This window comes from Homo sapiens, chromosome 16, assembly GCF_000001405.40.
Source record: "Homo sapiens chromosome 16, GRCh38.p14 Primary Assembly".
Taxonomy (NCBI): domain Eukaryota; kingdom Metazoa; phylum Chordata; class Mammalia; order Primates; family Hominidae; genus Homo; species Homo sapiens.
Genome location: NC_000016.10, coordinates 71404599 through 71428884, shown reverse-complemented (window position 1 = coordinate 71428884; position 24286 = coordinate 71404599). Strand labels below are relative to the sequence as shown.

General features: G+C 48.5%; 1 long non-coding RNA gene and 1 other non-coding gene across 2 annotated transcripts, besides 4 other annotated features; one reads left to right on the top strand and one right to left on the bottom strand.

The window, feature by feature from the left end:
- Positions 1852-1951: an enhancer, noted in NCBI's record as "active region_11072". NCBI's record gives its function as "activates an Ori minimal core promoter by ATAC-STARR-seq in GM12878 lymphoblastoid cells {active_cell/tissue: GM12878}" and the evidence as "EXISTENCE:reporter gene assay evidence [ECO:0000049][PMID:35858748]".
- TRM-CAT2-1 (tRNA-Met (anticodon CAT) 2-1) lies at positions 2320-2392 on the bottom strand. Its single transcript has one exon. It is a non-coding gene; the product is annotated as a tRNA-Met (tRNA).
- On the top strand, positions 2421-18444 carry LINC02136 (long intergenic non-protein coding RNA 2136). Its single transcript, NR_146574.1, has 3 exons — positions 2421-2724; positions 13890-14020; positions 18351-18444. It is a non-coding gene; the product is annotated as a long intergenic non-protein coding RNA 2136 (long non-coding RNA).
- Positions 2503-3003: an enhancer, noted in NCBI's record as "H3K4me1 hESC enhancer chr16:71459785-71460285 (GRCh37/hg19 assembly coordinates)". NCBI's record gives its function as "activates a minimal SCP1, AML or CMV promoter by ChIP-STARR-seq in naive H9 embryonic stem cells {active_cell/tissue: H9 hESC(naive)}" and the evidence as "EXISTENCE:reporter gene assay evidence [ECO:0000049][PMID:30033119]".
- Positions 16199-16288: an enhancer, noted in NCBI's record as "active region_11071". NCBI's record gives its function as "activates an Ori minimal core promoter by ATAC-STARR-seq in GM12878 lymphoblastoid cells {active_cell/tissue: GM12878}" and the evidence as "EXISTENCE:reporter gene assay evidence [ECO:0000049][PMID:35858748]".
- Positions 16362-16863: an enhancer, noted in NCBI's record as "H3K4me1 hESC enhancer chr16:71445925-71446426 (GRCh37/hg19 assembly coordinates)". NCBI's record gives its function as "activates a minimal SCP1, AML or CMV promoter by ChIP-STARR-seq in naive H9 embryonic stem cells {active_cell/tissue: H9 hESC(naive)}" and the evidence as "EXISTENCE:reporter gene assay evidence [ECO:0000049][PMID:30033119]".
- Positions 18445-24286: the final 5842 nt, after the last annotated feature.

Here is a 24286-nt window from a genome sequence, read left to right as displayed (position 1 = left end):
ACCATATGATTCAGTAATTCCACTCCTAAGTATGTGTCCAACAGAATTAAAAATAAAGACATACAAGTTGGAAGGGTAATAATTGGGAGTGGGAGTACAAGAATTTTAAAATGCTTTCTGGAAATAAGAGTCCTAATTAATAGCAGTGTTGATAAATCAAGGAGTAGCATTGTAATCTCTAGGTTAATTGCTAAAAGAATATTAAACAAGTATACAGCTTCCAAGCAAAGAGGGAAAATACTGGAATAATATATAGTAATAATCCAAGAAAAGAGGGAAAAGGAAAAAAAGAACAAAGAAGAAGCAGAAAAGGAAAAGCTTACTGAAATGATAGATTTAAAACCAAATATAGCAGTAATTATATTAAATGTAAGTGGACTAAATATTCCTATTAATCTGTAGAGATCATATAACAATTCAAAAAATCATAACTGTGTTTGAAAGATACATTAAAACATAAGGGTACAGAAAGTACAGCATAATAGAAGAAGATACTTTCTGCACAAATCAAAGAAAGTTGATGTTATATTAATATTAGACAACATACTAGAAAACAAAAAATATTTGAGATAAAGGGGAACATTTCATAAGTGTTCAGTTCAGGTTCAATTCATCAGGAAGCACAAGAATTCTGTTTTTATGTAGTTGTTATTGTAGCCTCAAAATACAAAAAGAAAAATCAACAAATTAGACAAATTTATATCTCACAGTAACCAGCAGTTCAAACAGATAAAAAATTTATAAGGGTACAGAAGCTTTGAATAACATGATTAGAAAACTTAGAACAAGGCGCCAGGCGCAGTGGCTCACGCCTGTAATCCCAGCACTTTTGGGAGGCCAAGGCGGGTGGATCACGAGGTCAGGAGATCGAGACCATCCTGGCTAACATGGTGAAACCCCGTCTCTACTAAAAATACAAAAAATTAGCCGGGCGTGGTGGCAGGCGCCTGTAGTCCCAGCTACTCGGGAGGCTGAAGCAGGAGAATGGCGTGAACCCGGGAGGCGGAGCTTGCAGTGAGCCGAGATCGCACCACTGCACTCCAGCCTGGGCGACAGGGCGAGACTCAGTCTCAAAAAAAAAAAAAGAAAACTTAGAACAAGGCACACAACCACTACAGAACACACCCCCACCCCACCCACATACACAGCATTTACAACGACCATATACCTGAGCCATAAATTTCAAAGGATTTAACTTTTACAGAATATATTATTTGACCACAATGCAATTAAGATATAAATAATAAAAATAAAACTAGAATTTTCCTATTTTGGAAATTAAATATGCTTCTAAATAACTAATAGAGAATAAACTACAAAATAAATAGAAGGTATTGTAATGAAAAATATGGAAGGATTCAGCTAGAGCTAGAATCAGAGCTTGTCATTCAAGCCACGCCTCATCCCCCTCTCCTAGATCTCTTGAGGCTGGGTGCTGACTGCCTCGGTCTTCCTGGCTCTTGGAAGCTGGGTCTGGGATGGAGGCGAGGGTGGAGACAAGGCCTTTCTCCTAGCAGAGGAAGGTCGAGGAAAAAAGAGATTGGAAGTGGTCTAGGAGGCTGATTTTCATAGATGTTGCAAGAGGAATTGACTCAATTTAGCTCTCACCAGCAACGCTTAGTGTCCGTTTGCCTACATTCATGCCAACAGTGCGTGTTTTCTCATTTGTGGAGGTTTTTGTTTTGTTTTGTTTTAAAACTGCTGGAGTGCAATGGTGTGATGAGGGCTCACTGCAGCTCCGACCTAAGCGATCCTCCCACCTCAGAGGTGCTGGGACTAGAGGTACTTGCCACCACGCCTGGCTATTTTTATTTTTTGTAGAAACAGGGTCCCATTATGTTGCCCAGGCTGGTCTCTAAATTCCCGGGCTTAAGCTATTCTCCTATCTTGGCTCTCCAAAGTGTTGGGATTACAGATGTGAGCCAATGCACCCGGCCTCATTTGTGGATTTTAATTCCTGGGAGAGGGGACAATAGCAGTTCCTGTGGCTGTGATCTGAGTTTCTTTTCGTTATGAGCAAGGGTGATTCATTCGCGAGTTGACCTTACCATGTATTTTATTTACGCGGCCCTGTGGCAGGGTCCCCTGCTCCTGTACACCTGGCTGTCAGGTGATGGCACATCCTTACCCTCTGGTCCTCGAGGGGCACATCTACTCTTTACCCATAGTTCAGAGCACTTTGCTGGGTGACATCCGCATATTTGCTGCAATTGTTACTCTCTGGTCCTTGAGGGACACACCTACTCTTTGCCCATAGTTCAGAGTGCTTTGCTGGGTTACATCCGAACATTTGCTGCATTCGTAGCACAACAAAACAGCTGCCCTCTCTGAGGCTCGAACTCAGGACCTTCAGATTATGAGACTGACGCGCTGCCCACTGCGCTAAGAGGGCCTCTGCTTAGACAAGCTTGCTACCTCCTGTAAGAAAATGCCTGCAGCCCCTTGCACTCGCGGAGTCATCTACGCAAGGTCGGGCTCTGCAGGCAGCAGCTTCTGGTCTCACCCCGGGCTTGTGCGCACACCTGGGGACATGTGGGAAGGTCGCTCTTGCGGCCACTGAGCGGCCTGGCCTCAGGGAACGAGCCCCGCGCCGGGAAGAAAGCTGCCTGCCGGGAGCGCAGCCTATTGGGGACCCGGGACCCGAGCCACCGCGGCTCACCAAGAGGCGGTGGGGCCCTGCGGTGCGTGTGGGACGCCGGGCAGGCAGACTCTGAGCACGGCCAGGTGGGGACAAGCTCCGAGGCGTGACCGGGCTGGGGCGCGGGGGAAGCGGGGGATGAGCGCCTGGGTCCGGTGCAAGCGGCGGAGGGTGGCAAGAACCGGCAAGCACGGGAGAGGAGGCTGCAAGGGGTGACCCCAGCTGGGGTCCTCCGTCTCCAGGGCGACGGCCTCTTGATTGGGCGGGAGATGGGCTCTCGTGGCTGCCAAATGCAGGGTTCCAGGGTGGACTGAGGCTGGAGCGTGCGACCTCAGCCGCGGGTGGGCGTCAGGGGCGACCCCGGAGCGAGGGGTGAGTAGGGCCCTGGGGAGCAGGAGAGCGCGGCAGGAGGGCAGGAGGGCAGAGAAGGGGTGTGGGGTGTGAAATCTCCAGGCCCAGGTCTAGGTCCTGGAGTCGAGGTGGGGGTGAGGTGGAAGCAGGGAGGGAAGGTTCCAGAAGATTCTTGGACGTGAATTCAGTCGGAAAATGGAGGGAAGAAATTATGGTTGCCTTGGACTTGCCAATTCATTTATTTATTTATTTGTTTATTTTGCATCCCGCGTTTTTCTTTTTCTCTCTTCTTTCTCAAATAATCTTGCTTCCTGGTTACACATAGGCCCAGAGGGTCTATGAAGGGCAGCAGAGTCGCACTGCTGGCTCCAAGCAGGGCTGTCCAATTTATTGTCACATGAAAAGATGACAGGAATAAAGGGTGCGGGGAGGGATGGGCGAGTGGATGGGTGGGTGGAGGGAGCTCTCCCCATCTCAAGATTCCCTTCTCACTGTTTCAGGGATGTTACTGCCCCAGGGAGTCTTCACCCCATCCCATTGCCCAAAAACCATTTTGGGTAAGATGACGACCTTGAACTTGCCAGCTTACTCATTCTCTAAGACCTTGTGGCATTTTTGCTTGTTTTTACCAGATAACCAATCATATATTTCACTACCTGATAGGACTAGTCTCTTCTACCCCCCCCCCCCCCCCAACACACACACACCTGCTCTTCTGATCGGGGTTTCGGTGCTCCTTTGGGAACTGGTTTCCGGTGATTTCTTGCACAGTGGTCACTCTGATTCTTTCTTCTCTGATCTCCTAGGGCACTTGGTGACTAGCACATCCCAGGGTTTGAGGGGGTTCTCAGTTGTTCTCTGTGTGTTAGTCCTGCCTTCTCCATTAGGCTGGGGCCTCTGCGATCCAGAGACAGGATCTGAGCCACCCCTGGGTGGGCCACATTCCACGTGCCCAGAGGTGTGGGGAAAGGGGGGCTCAGGATCCCACCCCCAAGCTGCCCTCAGCTGCTCTCACCATTCCAGGTTCAAAGCAGGAGGGAGAGTGTGAAGGGAGGAAGGAGCACTGCCCGAAGTCTGTGTCCTGGGTGCGTTTCTCTCTGCCACCAGCCAGCCTTGAATTTGGGGCTCCCCTCATGTTCATCTTGGGGCCATACACACTCGGCCCCGGGGAGCTGATGGTCAGGCAGCATCCCCAGTTGGGGTGGTTCCCAGATGCTTTGAAGAGCTGCTCAGCCAGAGAAGCTATAGAGGGAAGGAACATGGTTTGTTCTAGCAATCACTTTAAACATATTTTTCAAGATGTCCCGCTCCTAACCTTGAGTGGCTTCTCCCAGCCTTTGGGGAAATACTCCACAGGGCCCTGCAAGGACAAGGCCAACCCACACTCTCCCACCTGGATGAAACGGGCCACCCACTTCCACGGACCCGTGCAGAACCTTCCTGCCATCCTCCCACTTACCCAGTCCTACCCCAGCATCCGTGGTCCACAAGACCCCTTCCTTCTGCGATCCCCTTGCCACAGTGGCCCAGAACTAGCAGGGAATGTTCTTTCTCTGCTACCTCTTTGTGCCTTTCCTCTTTCCGTGAGCTGACTTCTCTTTCTTAGGGGCAGAGGCTGGTATGGAGTTTTCTGAATTCCTTGCAGCAGGTATGCAGGAAGATTGTAGACAGTTCTACGTAGGAAGCAGAGATCCAAGCGTTCAGTGTTAGGGGTGGGTGTGTGAGGCTGGGTGCATGGTGAGAACAAGAGACATGGACAATGCCAGGGGCAGGGGTGGCTATGAGATGAGGCTGGCATGACCAGCGGGGAGGAGAAAGCAATAGAAGATTGGAAGGAGTCGGCCATTGGAGCAGCCCCAGGACTTTGGTGCGCAGGGAGGGAGGAGCGGAGGGGAGGCAGCAGGACCAGGGACCAGTGAGAAAGGCACCAGCCAAGCCTTCTCTGTCTCCCCAGGCATTTCTTACTGTCTTCTTTATGCCTGAAGCCATTCACCTTTCACACTCAGCTCAGATATGATCCCGACTGTGAGGAGTCCCCTCACTTCTTTGGCTGGCATTTGTGTGTTTGTTTTTAGACAGAGTCTTGCTCTGTTGTCCAGGCTGGAGTGCAGTGGCATGATCTCAGCTCACTGCAACCTCCGCCTCCCAGGTTCAAGTGGTTCTTGTGCCTCAGCCTCCTGAGGAGCTGGGATTACAGGCATGTGCCACCACTCCTGGCTAATTTTTGTATTTTTAGTAGAGATGGGGTTTCACCACATTGGCCACGCTGGTCTCGAAGTCCTGACCTCAAGCGATTTGCCCGCCTCAGCCTCCCAAAGTGCTGGGATTAGAGGTGGCCACTGCGCCCGTCTTTGGCTGGCATTTGGTCCTTTCCCTGGCCTACCCCAGCTCTCTGCTCACCAGACTGTGCATCTGAGACATCCAAGAAGTCATCACTTTTGTGAGGACAGACAGCGCCATCCACTCAGGTTTTGTCTCTACTGTATCCATCCCAGTGTCTCTGACATGGAAAGCCATCTCTCTCTAGGTGTGGTTTTTTTTTGTTTTTTTTTTTTTTTTTTGGTTTGAGAGACAGGCTCTCAAGCTCTCTCACCCAGGCTGGAGTGCAGCAGAGTGATCACTGCTCATGGCAGCCTTGAACTCCTGGGCAATCCTCAGCCTTGAACTCCTGGCCTCAAGCAATCCTCCTGCCTCAGTCTCCGGAGTAGTTGGAACTACGGGTGCACACCACCACATCTGGCTAATTAAAAACATTTTTTTTTGTAGCAACAGGGGGTCTCAAAGTGCTGAGATTACAGGCATGAGCCATGGCACTTGGCCCTTTCTTTCTTTCTTCTTTTTTGTTAGGGGCTTCCTGGAACTTGAATCTTGAGAGAGTCAATGATTTCATCATGCAGTGAGAGGAAAAATTCCCTTGTGTATACGGGGCCCCTGATATGACTTCACCAACAGGGTCCAGAAGATTCCACAGTGGGGCACTAATAAGAGAGGAGCCCAACACAGTGGCTCACACCTGTAGTCCCAGTACTTTGGGAGGCCAAAGCAGGAGGATTGCTTGAGCCCAGGAGTTTGAGACCAGCCTGGGCGACCAAGTGAAACGCCTATCTCTACGAAAAAAAAAGTTAGCTGGATGTGGTGTCATGCACGTGTAGTCCCAGCTACTTGGGAGGCTGAGGCAGGAGGATCACTTGTGCCCAGGAGTTTGAGGCAGCAGTGAGCTAAGATCATGCCACTGCACTCCTGCTTGAGTGACAGAGACCCTGTTTCAAAAAATAAAGGCTGGGCGCAGTGGTTCACACCTGTAATCCCAGCACTTTGGGAGGCCGAGGTGGGAGGATCACCTGAGGTCAGGAGTTCGAGACCAGTCTGGCCCACATGGTGAAACTTGTCTCTACTAAAAATACAAAGAAATTAGCTGGGGTGTGGTGATGCATGCCTGTAATCCCAGCTACTCAGGAGGCCAAGGAGGGAGAATCACTTAAACCCAGGAGGTGGAGGTTGCAGTGAGCTGAGATGGTGCCACTGCACTCTAGCCTGGGCGATAAAATAAAATAATAAAATAAAATAAAAAAGAAGAAGAAAGGAGAACCTCCTGGGGCAGGTCACTAAATCCACCATCATGCAGAGTGAAGCTGCCCAGGGCCTCTGGTAGGGTTGTCTGCAATTTCTGGCCCTTCCTCCAGGGGGAAGCCTTGCATTGCATCTTACACCCCAGTACGTGGCCATGGATGCAAAGGGCCCTGTGCAGGAGACCTGGACTGGCTGCGTGACCTTGAGAATGTCTCTTCCCCCTCTGGGCTTGTTTCTCCTCTGTGAATGATGGGGTCAGTCCTGGAAACCACTGTGCGCGGTTGCTGGAGTGATCTATTTATCCCCAGGTCTGCCATGCTTGGCTGTGAGACCTTTGACAAGTATCTTAACCTCTCTGTTCCCATAAGATGGTGATCATACCTGAATCTACTTCACTGGGCTGCTGAAGGGAGGTTATATTATAGAGTGGACAGAATGTGCCTAGCACGGGAAGGCAGTGGCTGGCTGATCACTGATTGTCACTGATCACTGACTTGCGGCCACTTAGAGATGGAGGATCCCTCCTGGCCTGGCTGAGCCCTCTCTCCTCACCACCTGGTGTGGAATGGGTCCAGTTATTCTCAAGACCCTCTGCTAGGAAGTAGGAGTGGCTTCCAGAGCTGCCAAATTTCAGGCCTGTCTGTTATATTCCCCCGGTTCCCACCGGGATAACTGAGGAATGCCTGCCACTCACCCACAAAAAAGGATTTATTTACAGTATAAAATTTATCATACATTTCTTTTCTTTGAAGTGAACATAACCTCAAGATTTTATTGTCTTCATAATAAAACAAAAGATGAAATTTAGAACTGAATCACTTGGCCCTTTCTCTTCTTATCTCCTCCCAGTTCAAAATGCTTGCATGTCCTCATAGCCCGCATCGTCTTAGATCTGTAGCTGGGCTCAGCGCTCAAGCCTCAGCACCATCTCCTTTGTAGTTTTAGCCTTTTTCTGGAAAATCGGCTTACAGAAATCAGTGGCCTTGATATACACAAACAATACTTAGGTTAGAGGACTTAAGAAAACCCCATGTATAATAGCAACAAAGAAGATTAAATACTTAGAGATAAACTTAATAAGAAATGTGCAAAGTCTATAAAAGGAAAATTTTACAACACTTCTGGAAAACACAAAAGCACGTGGAGTGGGAAGACTACCTTGTTTTTGGCTATCACAACTCATCATCAAGATGCCCATTCCTTCCAAGTTGATTTATAAATTGAATGCCATTCCTATAAAAATACCAACAAGCTTTGTTTCATGGAGTTGGTAAGTCGATACTAAAGTTTCTATGGAAAATAAACGTGCTGGAATAGCCAGGGAAAAACTGACACAAAATGGGGGCTTAGCCCTATGGGCTATTAAAACAAACTATAAAGCCTCTGTAATTAGAACAGTGTGGCATTGGCCACATGAACAGGCAGACAGACCAATGGAATAGGATAGAAAGTACAGAATAGACCTAAGTACAAATGGGAATTTAGTATATGATAAAGGTGGCATGTCAAATCTCAGAGGCAGTGATGGACTTTTTATACTTATTTATTTATATTTTTTATTTATTGAGATGGAGTCTCGCTCTGTCGCCAAGGCTGGAGTGCAGTGGCGTGATCTCGGCTCACTGCGACCTCCGCCTGCTGGGCTTAAGCAATTCTCATGCCTCAGCCTCCTGAGTACTCAGCCCAAGATTGCTGCTCTGCTTCCTGTCATGACGCCACTTTCCCCGCGTATACATGGCATCCTTGCCCTTCTTGTCCTGTGCCACTTTGTGGGGTTGGTGCTTGCCACACTTCTTATAGAAAGTCTGGAAGGCTTTAGGAACGTGCACCACATTGTGGGAGCCCTATTGCATGGAAAGCTATTGTTAATTTCTAAGTCATTTATGCTTACAAAGCTGATAGGAGCTAAACTAAGATGCAGGTTATTCCGTAGGAGCAAATAGTTTGGGGAGTAGTCTACATAGTGGTCAAGAGTTTTTTAAAACTCCAAACCTTAGATTGTTGTCTACATATACCCTCTTGGGCAAAAGGTAGTTCTTACTTGGAGAAAACATAGATTGTATTATCTTGAGGGGGTCTAAAGGGAACCACAGAGGGGAGGAAGAGGAGACATGGGAAGTCTTTCTGGTTAGGGCAGTGGTCTCCCTGGTGGGGTGGACACCCTTGTCTTGGTGTGATCATTGAACTCATGGAAATGACAGGCGGCCTGTGACACCAACTTTTCAAAGGGGAAGGATTTCTTGCATGTATTGATGGGGCCTCAGCTCTATCTAATAGGAGGTACGTACTGCACTGGAGGCCTCAGATGGCCCTAGGAACTATTCTTGAGGCCTCTAATGTACACTGGGCTCCTCCAGCAAGAAAGACCCCCATGGGTTGACTGGTTGTTGGTGGTGGGAAGAAGACCTCACCTGGTGTGGGAATGGGGGTGGGGCCAAAACTCCAGTGGTTGAGGGTATCTTGCAGGAAGTCTCTGATGACTGTTGCTTCTCAGGGCTGTTTTGAGGAACACAGTTGATTGAAGACTCTCCCTTCCTCTGTATGTTTACCCTGAAATGTGTCTCAAGTTGGTAGCACCTACTTTCTCTGTGGCAAGAGCTCCTTTTTTTTTTTTTTTTTTTGATAGGGAGTTTTGCTCTTATGCCCCAGGCTGGAGTGCAATGGCGTGATCTCGGCTCACTGCAACCTCCGCCTCCTGAGTTCAAGCGATTCTCCTGCCTCAGCCTCCCAAGTAGCTGGGATTATAGGCATGTGCCACCACACCTGGCTAATTTTATGTTTTTAGTAGAGACAGGGTTTCTCCATGTTGGTCAGGCTGGTCTTGAACTCCCGACCTCAGGTGATCTGCCTGCCTTGGCCTCCCAAAGTGCTGGGATTACAGGCGTGAGCCACCGCACCGGGCTGGCAAGAGCTCTTTTAACATACTATGCCATGAAGGAGAGTTCATGGGTGTTCTTGTTCAGAATGCAACTCTGGATCGTATAAGGCCTTTCTTGTTTTTCTCATTTTTAATCCAGGTCTTGGAGTTTTGGTTATTTTCTTCTGGGGGAAAGATTTTGCCACTTCCCTTCCTGTTCTTTTCCTTGCTAAGCAAACTGGTTTTTGAGATTCCGTTTGCTAACAGCTTTCATTCAGGCTCTGTGGTTTTTAGATTGATGTTCCAGAAGAGGCTTGGTCCCATGAAGTAAGTCAATGTTACTTTTCACTATGGCAGTTGCTCTCCCAGCCCCTGTCTTGCGGATGCTCTTCCGAAGTGCATTTGGAAGGCTGCGTCTCGCTTCCATTTCTTTCTCTTCCAGAGTCACCTTGCTTAAGGGCTGTGATTTTCTGCTAATGCTCTGCATGAGTGGGCTGTGCAGATGCACGTTGATCTTTTCAGGAGAGTGTTGGCCTTATGCAGTGGATAGTCACCTTCTTTCAGCGGATTTACTGTTCTTCCAGATGTTGCTTGTCTGATACAACCTCCCTCTGTGTTGCCTGGAAGTAGTCTGTGCTTTTCCCCATCATGGTTAACGAAGACTCTGTCGAAGTCATCTGCCGTCTGACTTGTCCGAAACTGTGTCTCATCGCTCTACTGGCCTGCCGGCGCTTCTCATGGTGTAATGTGATCTTTTAGATGGGCGTTTTCTTGTGTCTTGCAAAAAAGGACATGGAGGACTCTCTGAGATTGCTCATGGCATTTGATGAAGTCATTAAAGGCAGCATGTTGGTTTCTCTGTTTCTCTTTTTCCTGTAGGAATTCTGAAGCCTCATGTGTTCTTCCCGAGCCAGACAGAAGTTAGATCCACGTGTCTCCTTTGCATTTAAATTCTTTAAAGCTCTTCTTACCTTAGAAAGTGTTATTAAATCTCACATATGGTTTTGTTATATTTCACATTGTCTCTGTTTTCTCTTGTTAACTGGCTCCAAATTAACAAGCAGTTTCCTCACTAGAATTTAATTTGATATGTTGAAGCCCAGACTCTTCCTTTGACTGATTTCTGTTTTGTACTCTGATGGCCTCAAAGAATGTCCCTGAACTTTTGATCTTTTTGTTCAGAGTCAAACAGTATATTTAGAATGTCTCCCATTCCTTCAGATACATTTTGAGGATTCAGTTGACAGTCTCTGGGGCAGGAAGGAAAACATCCCCCCAGCCTCTCAGCTGAAGCCCAGGCACTAGGCTGGGTCTGCAAAAGCTGGGGGTGAGGTCTTTGGGGAAGCCTCTTAGATTGGTGAGGAGGATATGGTCCCCCTCTGCCTCAGGTTTGGATGGCCTCTGTTCTGGGGGCTCCCTTCCAACAGAGAGGGCTGTTCCTTGGCCTGAGGGGCAGCAGCTGCAGGAGAGGAGTCTGAAGTGGGGGTCTCCTGTGTCCCTAGCCTTTTTCCGGGTGAGCTGCAGCCTCCAGAGGGAAGTGGCAAAGGCTGTGGTCCCTGCAGCACCCTACTACATATAGTAGCAACAAAGATGATTAAATACTTAGGGATAAACTTAATAAGAAATGTGCAAAATCTATAAAGGGAAAATTTTACAACACTTCTGGAAAACACTAAAGCACGTGGAGTGGGAAGACATCCCTTGTTTTTGGCTATCATAACTCAACATCAAGATGCCCTTTTCCCCCCAAGTTGACTTATAAATTGAATGCCATTCCTATAAAAATACCAATAAGCTTTGTTTCATGGAGTTGATAAGCTGATACTAAAGTTTCTATGGAAAATAAACATGCTGAAATAGCCAGGGAAAAACTGACCAAAATGGGGGCCTCACCCTATGGGCTGTTAAAACAAACTATAAAGCCTCTGTAATTAGAACAGTGTGGCATTGACCACATGAACAGACAGACAGACCAATGGAATAGAATAGAAAGTACAGAACAGACCTAAGTACGAATGGGAATTTAGTATATGATAAAGGTGGCATGTGAAATCTCAGAGGCAATGATAGACTATTTATTTATTTATTTATTTATTTTTTGAGATGGAGTCTTGCTCTGTCATCCAGACTGGAGTGCAGTGGCACGATCTCAGCTCACTGAAACCTCCACCTCCTGGGCTTAAGCGATTCTTGTGCCGCATCCTCCCAAGTAGCTGGGATTACAGGTGTGCACCACCATACCTGGCTAATTTTTGTATTATTTATTTATTTATTCTGGTAGAGATGGGGTTTCCCCATGTTGGCCAGGCTGGTCTGAAACTCCTGACCTCAAGTGATTCACTCATCTTGACCTTCCAAAGTGCTGGGATTACAGACATGAGCCACTGTGCTTGGCCCAGACTTTTTAATAAATGGTACTGGGATAATGGGGTAGTCTTTTTTTTTTTAAAAAAAGATAAAATTAGATCTATTGTTCACAGCATATATAAGAATAAACTCAAATGGATCATGAATTTAAGTGTAAAAAATGAAAACATGTAAGTACTAGGGGGAAAAAGTCCGTGGGTGAATTCCTCTTAACCTCAGTGTAAGGAAAGGATTTGAAAGCATCACTCAGAATCCAGAAGCAATGAAATAAAATTCTGGCAAATTGGACATGGCAAACCAAACCAAACCAAACCAGACAAAACAAAAAACCCAAACCACAGAAACCAAAGTAACTGAAAAATTGAGAGAAAATATTTGTAACACATACCACAGACAAAGGGCTAATCTCCCTTATATATACAGAACTCTTAAAAATTGAGGGACAGAGGATGAAATACTCCACAGAAAAAAGAGAAAAGACTTGGACAATTCACACACACATTAAAATGGTCCTCAAACATATGCCAGTTACTGGGACAGTGTTGTGGGGACAAAAATAAGTAGACACAGTTCCTTCCCCCAAGGAGTTTCCAGTTCACTGGGAAAGTCACAGAAACTAACTTGAATGGGGACAGAGTATGGTTAAATTTCAAGGGGTAGGCTGGGTGCGGTGGCTCATGCCTATAATCCAAGCACTTTGGAAGCTGAACCAGGAGGATCACTTGAGCCCAGGAGTTTGAGACCAGCCTGGGCAACATGATAAGACCGCATCTCTACAAAAAATTAAAAAACTAGCCAGGTGTGGTAGTGCGTGTCTCTAGTTCCAGCTACTTGTGGGGGGGTGAGGTGGGAGGATCACTTGACCCAGGGAGGTTGAGGCTGTAGTGAGCCATGATCGTGCCACTGCACTCCAGCCTGGATGACAGAGGGAGACCCTGTCTCAAAAAATAAATAAAAACGGGTGGGGTTGGATTTCACCTGAGCCTGCTGGAGGGCAGGGAGGAGCAGTTGGTGGGGTGGAATGTCAGGGAGTGAACAATCTAAGAGGCAGGTGAAAGTGGTTCTGAGCAGAGAGGACCATTGGGGGATGAGGCAGCTGTTGGAGAGGGATGGGTCAAGGGATGGAGGGTAGCACTGTGAGCTGAAATAGGTGAATTGGGAGGGATGCTGGCTAGAGAAGAGGTAAGTCCAGCACTTACTGTGCTTGGGGCTGTGAGAGGCACCTGAGGACAGATGCCTGTCCTCCAGGATCCCACAGTCCTGGGTGGAAACCAGCAGGGCCTTGATGAACTAGACTTCCGGAGAGAATGAACTCAGTACTGTAGTGGAGGGACCAAGGGCAAGCTGCCCAAGGCTCAGACTAGAGTTGGGGCTGGTTGGGTTTCAGGTGAAGACAGATGTCCATGTGGATCTAGCCCACTGGTCTCTGGACATGTGGTTATGTTGGTCAAAGGAGAAGACCAAGGCTCAGAACAAAGACTTGAGATTTGCCCCCTCAACTGTCAGAGAAGGAGTTATGGAGGGAGATCGTGGCCTGAGGGTCATGGAGTGGCCAGGGGAGAGTCTTGGTCAGTCACACATTGGAGGCCATGAGAAAGAGTAGTTAGGAGAGGGGTGCTTGAGCCAGTAATCAGATTCAAGTCCCTGTTATGCTCATGTGCCAGCTCTGCCCTTGAGTTTTCTCATCTTTCAATTGGGGAATGGGGCCGGGTGCGGTGGCTCACACCTATAATCCCAGCATTTTGGGAGGCCAAGGCGGGTGGATCATGAGGTCAGGAGTTTGAGACCAGCCTGGCCAATGTGGTGAAACCCCATCTCTACTAAAAATACAAAAATTAGCCAGGCATGGTGGCGGGCGCCTGTAATCCTTGGGAGGCTGAGGCAGGAGAATCGCTTGAAACCAGAAGGTGGGGAGGTTGCAGTGAGCCAAGATCATGCCACTGCACTCCAGCCTGGGTAACAAGAGCAAAACTCTGTCTCAAAAAATAAATAAATAAATAAAAATTTAGAGAATGAATCAAGGCATGACTGTAGGACCAAACGAGTTCACATATGCAAAGTGTTTTAATATGGTCAAAGCATTCAATAAATGCTGCTGTTAATTAGGAGGCAAGAAGAGATTGAAGGGAAATCTCAAGGGGCTCCAGAGACTACTACGATGGTGCAAAGTCACAGAAGCCCTGGGAAAAGCAGGTAGAATGGAGTTGCCATGACATTGAGCCTCACCTAGATGCCAGGTAGGTAACACGCATTATCACAGGTGAGTCTCACTGTAATCTCACAAGGGAATTTCTATGGTCATCCCCACCCCACAGTGTAACAAGCTCAAGGTCCCAAGAGTATGACCTACGTTTCCTGTTCTGGACCTTAAGTTTTATTTATTTATTAATTATTTTACTTTTTTTGAGATGAGGTCTTGCTCTGTCACACAGCCCAAAGTGCAGTGGCACGATCCTGACTTACTGCAACCTCCGCCTTCCAGGCTCAAGCAATCTTTCTACCTCAGCCCCCCAAGTATCTGTGAGTACAGGCATGTGCCACCACACTCGGATATATATATATATATATATATATATATATTTGTGTGTGTGGAGATAGGGTTTCACTAGGTTGCCCAGGCTGGTCTCAAACCCCTGGTCTCAAGTGATCCGCCTGCCTCGGCCTCCCAAACTGTTGGGATTCCAGGCGTGAGCCACCGTGCCCAGCCTGGACCTTAAGAATGAAATCATCCTTGGGTTAAAGGCTGGTCTCCCTTAGAGATGGTTGTTTGCAGGTCACCTTCCAGGGGCTAATACTCTGGCAAATGCTGGTGACCTTGAGATGAATGAGCCTTGATCCGTGTACTCAGTGAGCTCTCAGGATGAGGGTTCCTGTAGCCTCTCTCTTCATTGCATCATCTCCAAAACCTGACAGGACTGATGCTGGAAGGTCTTTCCAAGGCCCAGACTCCTCTCCTGGCTCAAACACTTTCCATGGCTCTCTGTGGCCTCCAGCCCAGGGTCTGAATTGGTTCTACCTGGCCAAGTGCTCTGCCTGCTTTTAGGGTCTGGTCTGTGCCGCGAGCCCCTGTCCCATCCCAGCTTTATCTCCCACAACTTCCCAGCCCTTACCTATGCCCTGGTCATGTGGATCCTTTCCTGTATATCTATACCCTTCATTCATCTTGGTCTTTTGGTCTGAAATGCAGCCCCCTCCTCCACTGGCCCCTGAAACCTAACCCACCCTCCTCCTGCACTGCCTGGACTGCAGGAAACCTTTCCAGGCTACGTATCCAAACTAGTCTTTTTCTCCCTCCTCTGTTTTGCTAGATTTAGAGATGGTTCTAGTACGTGACTCAAGGTAAGAGGTTGTGTTTGACTGATACCAAGTGCGTCTGTCCAGAGTTAGATATGAGGATAGAAGTTCCTTGAGCCAGGGATGGTATCTTAGCTATCCCTGGGATCCCCACAGGACACGTGCTAACAGGGAAATTCAAAGACCCCACCAAACTCCTGCCACCATTTCCTGCCCTCTTGTGCCCAGGCCCACCTCTGGGTTGGAGGAGCAGGGTGCTGTGGGAGAAGGTGCACTGGTCCTGGAGTCAGGGCCTTCAGGTTTGTGCCATCCCACTGAATACATGGCCAATGACCTTGGGCAAAGGGACTCCTGCCTCGGGGCTTTAATCTGTGCATCCACAGACTGTACATATGGCATTGGACCAGGACCTCCCTAGTGCCTTTTTGGTAAAGAGGACCGTAAGTTTCTTAGACTTTTAATATGCAGATGAATTCTCTGGAGAATCTGTTAAATTGCAGATTCTGACTCAGTAGGTTTGGGGCAGGTCCTTATTTCTAACAAGCTCCCAGGTGACCTTGATGCTGGTGGTCCGTGAGCCACGCTTTGCATTAACAAGGGTCTAACCCAGTGATCCTCAGCCCTAGCCCGATAGAAGAATGGCCTGAAAGGTCGCTCTTTCCCTCCTCCACTGCCTTCTGCATTTTAAATTAAAGTTTCCCTTGGGAGATTGTAAAAAGATGTTAGGATGGCACCCCAGGGCCATTAACTCAGCATTTGTAGGGGTGGGAACTTGGCATCGGTAGTGTTTAAAGCTCACCAGGTGAATCCAGTGTGCAGCCAGGACTGGGAACTGATTTACCTCGTGGGTGGAGAACTTTAGCAAATGGTTTTCAGGCGAAGCTTTTTGTCTCTGCTGCCCCCTTGTGGTCATCTTGTTCACTCACAGTCAGAGCGCAAGCCCTGTTCCCAAGAGAGATGGGAATCGCAGAACAATTGGGAAAATAATGTCGCTGCCCATGGTGGACGGGCTTCCCTGAGACCCCAGCACTCACCCTGACATGGGTGGGCTCCTCCTCTGCCGTGATGCTGAAGACGATTCCTTAAACAAGGGCCTCGCTCCCAGTGTCCTGGGGGTAGCCCACATGAGTAGGAAAAACTCTGGGTGGGCCAGGAACTGGAAACAGCAGGGGGCCCTGTAGTCGGCAGCTGAGATAGAGGTTGGATAGAGCAGGTCCAGGAGAAACTTCCTAGGAGAAGGTGGGCGCTGAACCCAACCCTCAGCTCTCCTGGGCGGGAGTCAAGAGAAGTCTTAGATGCAGACGTGAGGTTTGGGTTGCTTGGCGGTCAGCCAGCAGGGGGCACTCTGGCGCCACGTAGAGTTCCCAGGTCGGGTCTCCTAGTCTTCGTCGTCTTGACTGGGAACTGTCCACCCCGGTGCAGGATGCCCCAGGTGCAGTGGAGCAGCTCAGAGCCCCAGGGCGTGACTGTCCGCAGCTGGCTGGCTTCCCTCTGTGCCAGGTGCAGGGTCAAGGATATCCCCATGCACAGAGCCTGCCGTCAGTGGTATGAGGAGTATGAAGGTTCTGATGCTGCTGCCCATTCAGAAATGCAAAATGGCCCAGTACCTTGAGCACAGGTCTAGTCCCTACTGTGCCCTGCCTGGCTGTGTGATCTTGACACATTCATCTCCCCTTTGTGGGCCTGCTTCTCCCTCATCCAATGCATCCCCCAAGCCATCCTGGGCTGTGGTGCTGCTCCCCAGACAACAGGGAGTTGGACTCATGGTTTTGGGGGGCTCACATTGCCCTTAGGGGGCCAGAGTCAAGGGAATCACCTTTTTTTTTTTTTTTTTTTTTTTTTTTTTGCCTTCTGCTGTAGGGCCTGGTTCTGGGCTGGACTTTCCCCATCCTCTTCCTGAAAGCCACCCTTGTTCAATCATGGGGACAAGATACAGTCCAGGAAAGGAGCTAGGGCCCTCCTAAGAGATGATCCCGAATAGGGCCCAGCTGTGGACAGGATGATCTCTTTTCCAGCCGGGCGCCATGGTTCATGCCTGTAATCCCAGCACTTTGGGAGGCCGAGGTGGGAGGATCACTTGAGGTCAGGAGTTCGAGATCAGCCTGGCCAACACAGTGAAACTCCTTCTCTACTAAAAATACAAAAAATTAGCTGGATGTGGTGGTGCATGCCTAGAATCCCAGCTACTTGGGAGGCTGAGGCAGGAGAATCACTTGAGCCTCTGGGAGGTGGAGGTTGCAGTGAGCCAAGATTGCGCCTGGGTGATAGAGTGAGATTCAGTCTCAAAATAAAATAAAAACGCCAAATCCCTTTTCTGTTAGTTGTCAAACACACTAGACATCAGGACACGGTGGTCCTGGCTACATGACTGCCTTGTAACAGTGAGAAATATCCAGAGATGGGATGCATGTTAGAGTTGAATGGGGTTTGTCCCGGGGAGAGAGGGGAACCAAAGGAATAGCAAGAGGGTGGGGAGCTTAGCTTTAAAATAATGTTTTGGCTGGACATGGTGGCTCATGCCTGTAATCCCAGCACTTTGGGAGGCCGAGGTCAGGAGTTTGAAACCAGCCTAGCCAACATAGTGAAACCCCATCTCTACTAAAACTACAAAAATTAGCTGGGCATGGCGGCACATGCTGTAATTCTAGCTACTTGGGAGGCTGAGGTACGAGAATCGCTTGAACCCAGGAGGCAGAGGTTGCAGTGAGCTGAGATCGTGCCACTGCATTCCAGCCTGGGCGATGGAGTGAGACTCAGTCTCAAAAAAAAAAAAAATGTTTTACTCATTTAAAAAATTGGTCTGGTGTACCTACGGCAAATGGGTGGGACTTGCTAAATCTGGTTGGCTGTTGCTTTCTGAAACACAGATTTTAGACTTGAATATATGCATTTGCAAACTCTAAGACATATGCGCCTCTGAACACAGTCTGGGTGAATGCAGTTTGATTGTCACAGGCTTCCGACAGAGTTGCAGGTGTTGTATTGCGTGGTTTTCAACAGCAATCAGACCAAAAGGGTGACTACTAGCATGTGAAAACAGAGGATAAGCTTCCTGGGCTCAAACTCCTGAGCTGGAAGTCAGTTCCAGGCCATAGTGTCCAGCCAGAGGAGGACAGCAAGATCGACTCCTGCGTGACCAGTAGCTCACCTGGTCCAAATGTAGCCTCTTACTATAAAACAAAGGCAGAGAGAGACTGAGGGAACTGGAAAGAGGTTCAATGGAGGAAAAATAAGGCAACCTCAGGGATTCACTTTTACTCTCATTTCATTAAGTTCCAGATATTGGCAGACTGCTGGCCTCCTGAGGAGCACAGGAAGGGGCCTGGCAGACTGGTGATCCTGGTTGGAGATGAAGAGGGGCTGATTAAGAGGAGCTGACTGAGGCTGGGAGGTTTCCTGCCCGGGAGTGGCGAGCCTGTCAGAGCTGCACCTGGGCCTACCTGTACCTAGGAGAGATTCAGGGTATGGTTGGCTTCCCACAAACACCTGGGGCTCGAGGAGTGCGCTGCCTCTGTTCCACACCTGATGTGATCCACATCCACGCCCATGCACCTGGCCAGGAGAGTGACTGTCACTGATGAGGCAGTGTGATAGTACCTCTGATGGTTTCTCTGAGATCAGCCTTTGCACTTCACCTGTGTGGGCCAGATGGAAAGCCAGGGTGGAGACGGAGCACCCTGGGTCAGCTGGGATCCCACCGTGCGATTCCACGGCATGGGGTGTCAGAACCTGGAGTGCCGGTGGTGGCCAGAGCAGGGGTGGGGTGGCATTCCTGTGTCTCTGCCACTCACTGGCTGTGTCACCACAGAAAAGTCATCTAAACCTCTCGGTGCCCCAGTCTTGTTCTCTGTCCATGGCAATTCGGGTAGACCTGACCCGGTTGGATGGCTCTGAGGTTTCAATGAGGTATCATACATGCAAATGGTTTTTTTGGAGCCAGGTTCTTTTTATTTAAAAAGATTTTTTAAAATGGGAATACTCGCTAAAAAGAGTACCTGACCTCAGCTGGGCACAATGGCTCACACCTGTAATCCCAGCACTTTGGGAGGCCAAGGCGGGTGGATCACGAGGTCAGGAGATGGAGACCTGTAGTCCCAGCTACTCGGGAGGCTGAAGCAGGAGAATCGCTTGAACCCAGGAGGTGAGATTGCAGTGAGCTGAGATCACGCCACCGCTCTCCAGCCTGAGTGACAGAGCGAGACAAAAAAAAAAGAAAAAGGAAAAGAACCTGACTTCAGTATCTTTGGGTGTCTGGGATTGAGGAGTGTTCCTGAATGGGCATCAGGGATTGATGAACACTTGTGTAAGAGTTAAAGAAAGAGGAAAAAAACATGAAATTTTTAAAGACAGGTTTACTTTAGATAAAACCTGGAGGGGCTTCTGGCCGATTTTGGTCAGGGGCGCTTTCTGTTACAGACTAAAAGTATATATTGGTTTTAGGGTGAGGGTCTTATCACAAGCTTGGAATGTTTTTGGGTCAGGGAGAAGTCTATAGCCGGGTCGGAATGTTTCTGGGCAGAGAGGAGGTTATCTTGGGGCTGACGTCTTTCCGGCAGGAGGGAGGTTAGTTATCTTGGGGCTGGCATCTTCCCAGCCAGAGGGGGGTTATCTTGGGGCTAGCATGTCTCTGGTTGGGGAGGAGTTTGGAATGTTTCTGGTCGGAGATGTTATTTGTAGTTTCTGGTCATGCCGACCTTAGCCATTAGGCTGATGCCTTTTGGCTTTAGGCGGTTTTTGATTAAGATGAATTTTAAAATAAGGTGCTTGTCCACAATGGCAAGGCCCCTGCTCTGTCACCTTGCCCCCCAAAATTGCAAAGCTTTGTTTCTGTGTATGCATGTATAAATATTTTTTTTTCCCTTAGGAGCAAAGGCAATAGCTTAACTAAGATGTTCAGAGGGATCATGACATAAAGACTGGATGCCTGGGGTTGGGGTCAGGGGCGTGTTTCAGGTGCCTTTATTTTATACCAGAGTTTCCCAACCTGGGGAATCTTGCCATGTGGGGCCAAATCATTCCTTGTTGTTGTGGACTGACTTGTGCATTGCAGGGTGATTAGCAGCATCTCTGGCTCTACCCACTAGATACCAGTAGCACCCTCCACCCCATCCCCACCTCGTTTCACCAATAAAAAATGTCTTCAGACATTGCTCAATGTCTTTGGGGAGGTGAGAGTGGGACAAAATTGCCCCCAACTGAGAACTGCTGCTTTGTGATGTTCCTAGTGGAGTTGAGCCCTCGATAAGTGGTTGTTATTTGCTGTGTTGAAGTTTGGCAAGATTTCTCTTCTGGGCTTTATTGATCTCTTCCTATTTCTGTGCACTGCTTAAAGGGAAAGTCGACGACTACAGGGCTTCCAAACTGCAGCCCCATTGGATATAAAGTACGAGTTCCTTAATCTGGTAGGGCAGCCTGATCAACTGGAACTTGGTTCTTACTGTGTTTCTCGTTATGCAAACCTTAAGGATTCCAGCCTGGACAACATAGTGAGACCCTGTCTCTACAAAAAAAAAAAAAAAAAAAAGAGAGGAAAAAAAAAAAGAAACGAAATTCAGCAGAGCCCAGTGGCATGCCCCTGTAGTCTCAGCTATGCAGGAAGCTGAGGTGGGAGGATCACTTGAGCCCAGGAGTTCAAGGTTGCAGTGAGCTATAATTGTGCCACTGCACTCCAGCCTGGGTGACAGAGTGAGATCCTGTCTCTAAACAAACAAACAAACAAACACCCTAAAGGTTTTTGAGAGCATTAAGTGCAACATAAACCTTTCAGTCCTTTACTATTAAAATATGAGCTACAATTAAAATGAAACAGTTAATTTTGTGGGGAGCAAGATCTTGAGATAATCTTCATTTGTGGTGAATACATTTCTGTTTAACCACAAGCCTCAGAATTAGTAGTTCCTCATTCAGAGGAAAGATCAGAGAAGGGTCTTATGGAGAAGGACCAGCAGGAGACAGAGGTGGAAGAGTTGGATGCATTTGAAGTCTCCACTATTTAGGAGGTGGCCTAAAAGATCCTGGGGAGTGGGTGGGCACCTCCTTTTGGCACCCCGGATGTGAGGAGGGTCTCCAACACTGATTTTGGCTGCTGCTTTGTTGCACCATCCTCTATGGATGGTTCGGCTCTTCTCTTGTTTGGCTTCTTATACACCTGCTCTAAAATCTCCCCAGGAATTCCATACAATTCACAGAAGTGTTGCTGCTCTGGAGTGAGAAATGTTCCTCCAGATTTTGGAGAAACTTTCTTTCTGAATGTCTCCAGAGCTTGCTTCGGAGCAGCCCTTCAGTCACAAGTTTAGCAGCATAATAATTCCTCCTTGCTGAGGTTGTCCCAGGAATGACACAGAGCACCAGAAGCAAGCTTTGGAAACACAGCTGGTACAACAAGGAGCGCCTCTATGCCTTGGCGTAGAGAAGCAGGTTCTAGTTTTGCCCTGAGTTGGTTGATGGCCCCAGGTATCACATGGAATATCTTTCTATTACAAGAATCAGCATGGAGTTGAGCTCTAGGACAAACGTCTCAATGGTGTTGGGCATGGCCATTGGAGCCTCCTTTCTGATCATGTAGACCTGGGCCATCATTTGTGCAGCTGGTCCTGTGAACTCGGTGCTTAAGATTCCAATTAGCACCTTGCGATAGCATGGTTGTGCCACAGAAAAAGGTAACATAGGTGGAGATGTCCAGAATTGGGCGAGGTGTGTGCACCGTAGAAATGCTGCTGGCTGTTTTCAAGGCATTGAAGAAGCTCTCTGCAGAGGTGGCTATTATCCCCGGACTCTCTAAATAATGATACTAGAATGTCGGTTGCAGCATGATGAGACCAAATCAGTGTGGAAAGTCATCACCGTTTCAGATATTCTGGTTTCCTGTGAGTGTTGTGGTCACAGTGCTGGGGTTTCAGATTTGGAGTCAATTGCAAACACGCCTCCAAGGATACCTCTCTTAAAGCCAGGCACGCTGCACAGAGGATTGTGGTGCAGATTATCCTAGCAGTGTTGAGTCCTCTCATTTGCTATGTATACAGACAGCATAGCCAATGTTGAAGCACGTCCAGCCTCCAGCCTCCACAGATGGGACCCCAGTCTCCTGAATCTAACTCAGGAGAACCAGGGAGGGAGGCTGAGGAGCTGTTGATTGGGCTGACACTGGATTCGCCATCATTTTGGGAACCGGGTTGGTTCCTCTTTGATACTTTGACACGGTACCTTTTGTGTACTTACCTGCAGAAGTGAAGGTTGCAGCAAAGCACAGATGCAAGGTCAGGAGAGACCCCAGGTGAGCCCTGGGACAAAGTGGAGGGGCTTCCCCAGCAGGCGCAGTCCCCAGTTGAGGTTGAGCTCCCCAGTGAGGGATGAGGACTTTGTGGCTTGGCTCGTGATTGGTGGTGGGAGGAAATAGTTTGGTGGCAGTCTTTTACAGTGGTCAAAAAGATTTTTTTTTTAATCTCAAACCTCAGATTATTGTCTGCATATACCTGCTCAGGCAAAAGGAAGTCCTTATTTAGGGAAAGCACAGATTGTGTTTTTTTCAAGAAGGTTTAAGAAGAACCCTAAGTGGGAAGAAGAAGAGGCTTAGGAATTCCTCCTGGTGGGTGGTGGTCTCCCTTGTCATGGTGTGATCATGGAAATCATGGAAACCATGGGCAGCCTCTGATGCCCAGCTCTTTAGAGGAGAAGGGTCTCTTGTATGTATTGGTGGGGCCTCAGCTGTATCTAATAGGAGGTAGGTACTGCACTGGAGGCCTCAGATGGCCCTAGGAACTAGTCTTGAGGCCTCCAGTCTACACTGGGCCCCTTCAGCAAAAAGAGAAAGACCTCACAGGTTGGCTGTTGGTGGTGGGAGGAAGACCTCACCCATGTGGGTGTAGGGCCAGAACTCTGGTGGTCGAGGGTATCTTCTGGGAAGTCTCTGATGACTGTTACTTCTCAGGGCTGTTTGGAGGGACACAGTTGGTTGAAGAGTCTCTCTTCCTTTGTGTATTTGCCCAGAAATGTGTCTCAAGTGACTCTGTGGCAAGAGCTCTTTTTTTTTTTGTTTTTTTTTTTTGTTTTTTTTTTTGAGACGGAGTCTCGCTCTGTCGCCCAGGCTGGAGTGCAGTGGCGGGATCTCGGCTCACTGCAAGCTCCGCCTCCCAGGTTCACGCCATTCTCCTGCCTCAGCCTCCCAAGTAGCTGGGACTACAGGCGCCTGCCACTACGCCCGGCTAATTTTTTGTATTTTTAGTAGAGACGGGGTTTCACCGTTTTAGCCGGGATGGTCTCGATCTCCTGACCTCGTGATCCGCCCGCCTCGGCCTCCCAAAGTGCTGGGATTACAGGCGTGAGCCACTGCGCCCGGCTGGCAAGAGCTCTTTTAACACCCTGTGCCATGAAAAGGGGTTTGTGGTGTTCTTGTTCAGAATGCAACTTGGAATTGTGTCAGGCCTTTCTTGTATTTCTCACTTTTTATCCAGGTCTTGGATTTTCTGTTTGTTTGCTTTAGATTCTTCAAGCAGCCTCTGCTCTTGCCCCTTGCTGATCAGGTGTCTGTCCACCAGTGGGACGTTTTGCCAGTGACCTTCTTGGAGGCCTGTGAGGGTGTACTTTCATTATCCAGATGAGCATTGATTTGATGCAGGGAGCACTCAGCCTCCTTTGCTGCGATACTTACACGGTCACTCCTGCCCGGCTGACCCATCCTCTCACTCGGGCCTGGAAGGCCGCATTGTTTTCAAACCTCCCTCTTTCTTCCTGACTTTGTTTGCATTGCAGAACCATGACTTGCTGTAGACGGCGTCCTGAAGGCTTGTGTGAGGTTCCTCTTGAATTTTCAGGAGAGCGTTGGCTGTACCTGGGCCTCCCTTGTTCTCCCGGCTGTGGCTCAGTGACACCTCTTCTTTCCATCTGGAAGGGAAGAGGACTGCCTCTTTTAAACCACGGTGGACAGTGTTTTGCCCTCTGGGTTCATCATGAATGGATGTGTCAGACTTTGTTCTCACCCTGAGATTCAACTGCTTTCTGACTTGTGCTTTGGATGCTGGGGAGGGTGAGGCAGGCAAGATGAGGGCAGTGAGTGATAGCAAATGGCACCAAAAATTAGGGTATTGACCCACCAGCTCCTGTCTCTCATTGGTTGTGTTGGATATAAAATACTCCAGGAATAAATGCTCAGTGCCGGGAAGTAAAACCACACGCAGGCAAAAGTTTAATCCTCTCAGCAAGGCAATTTACTT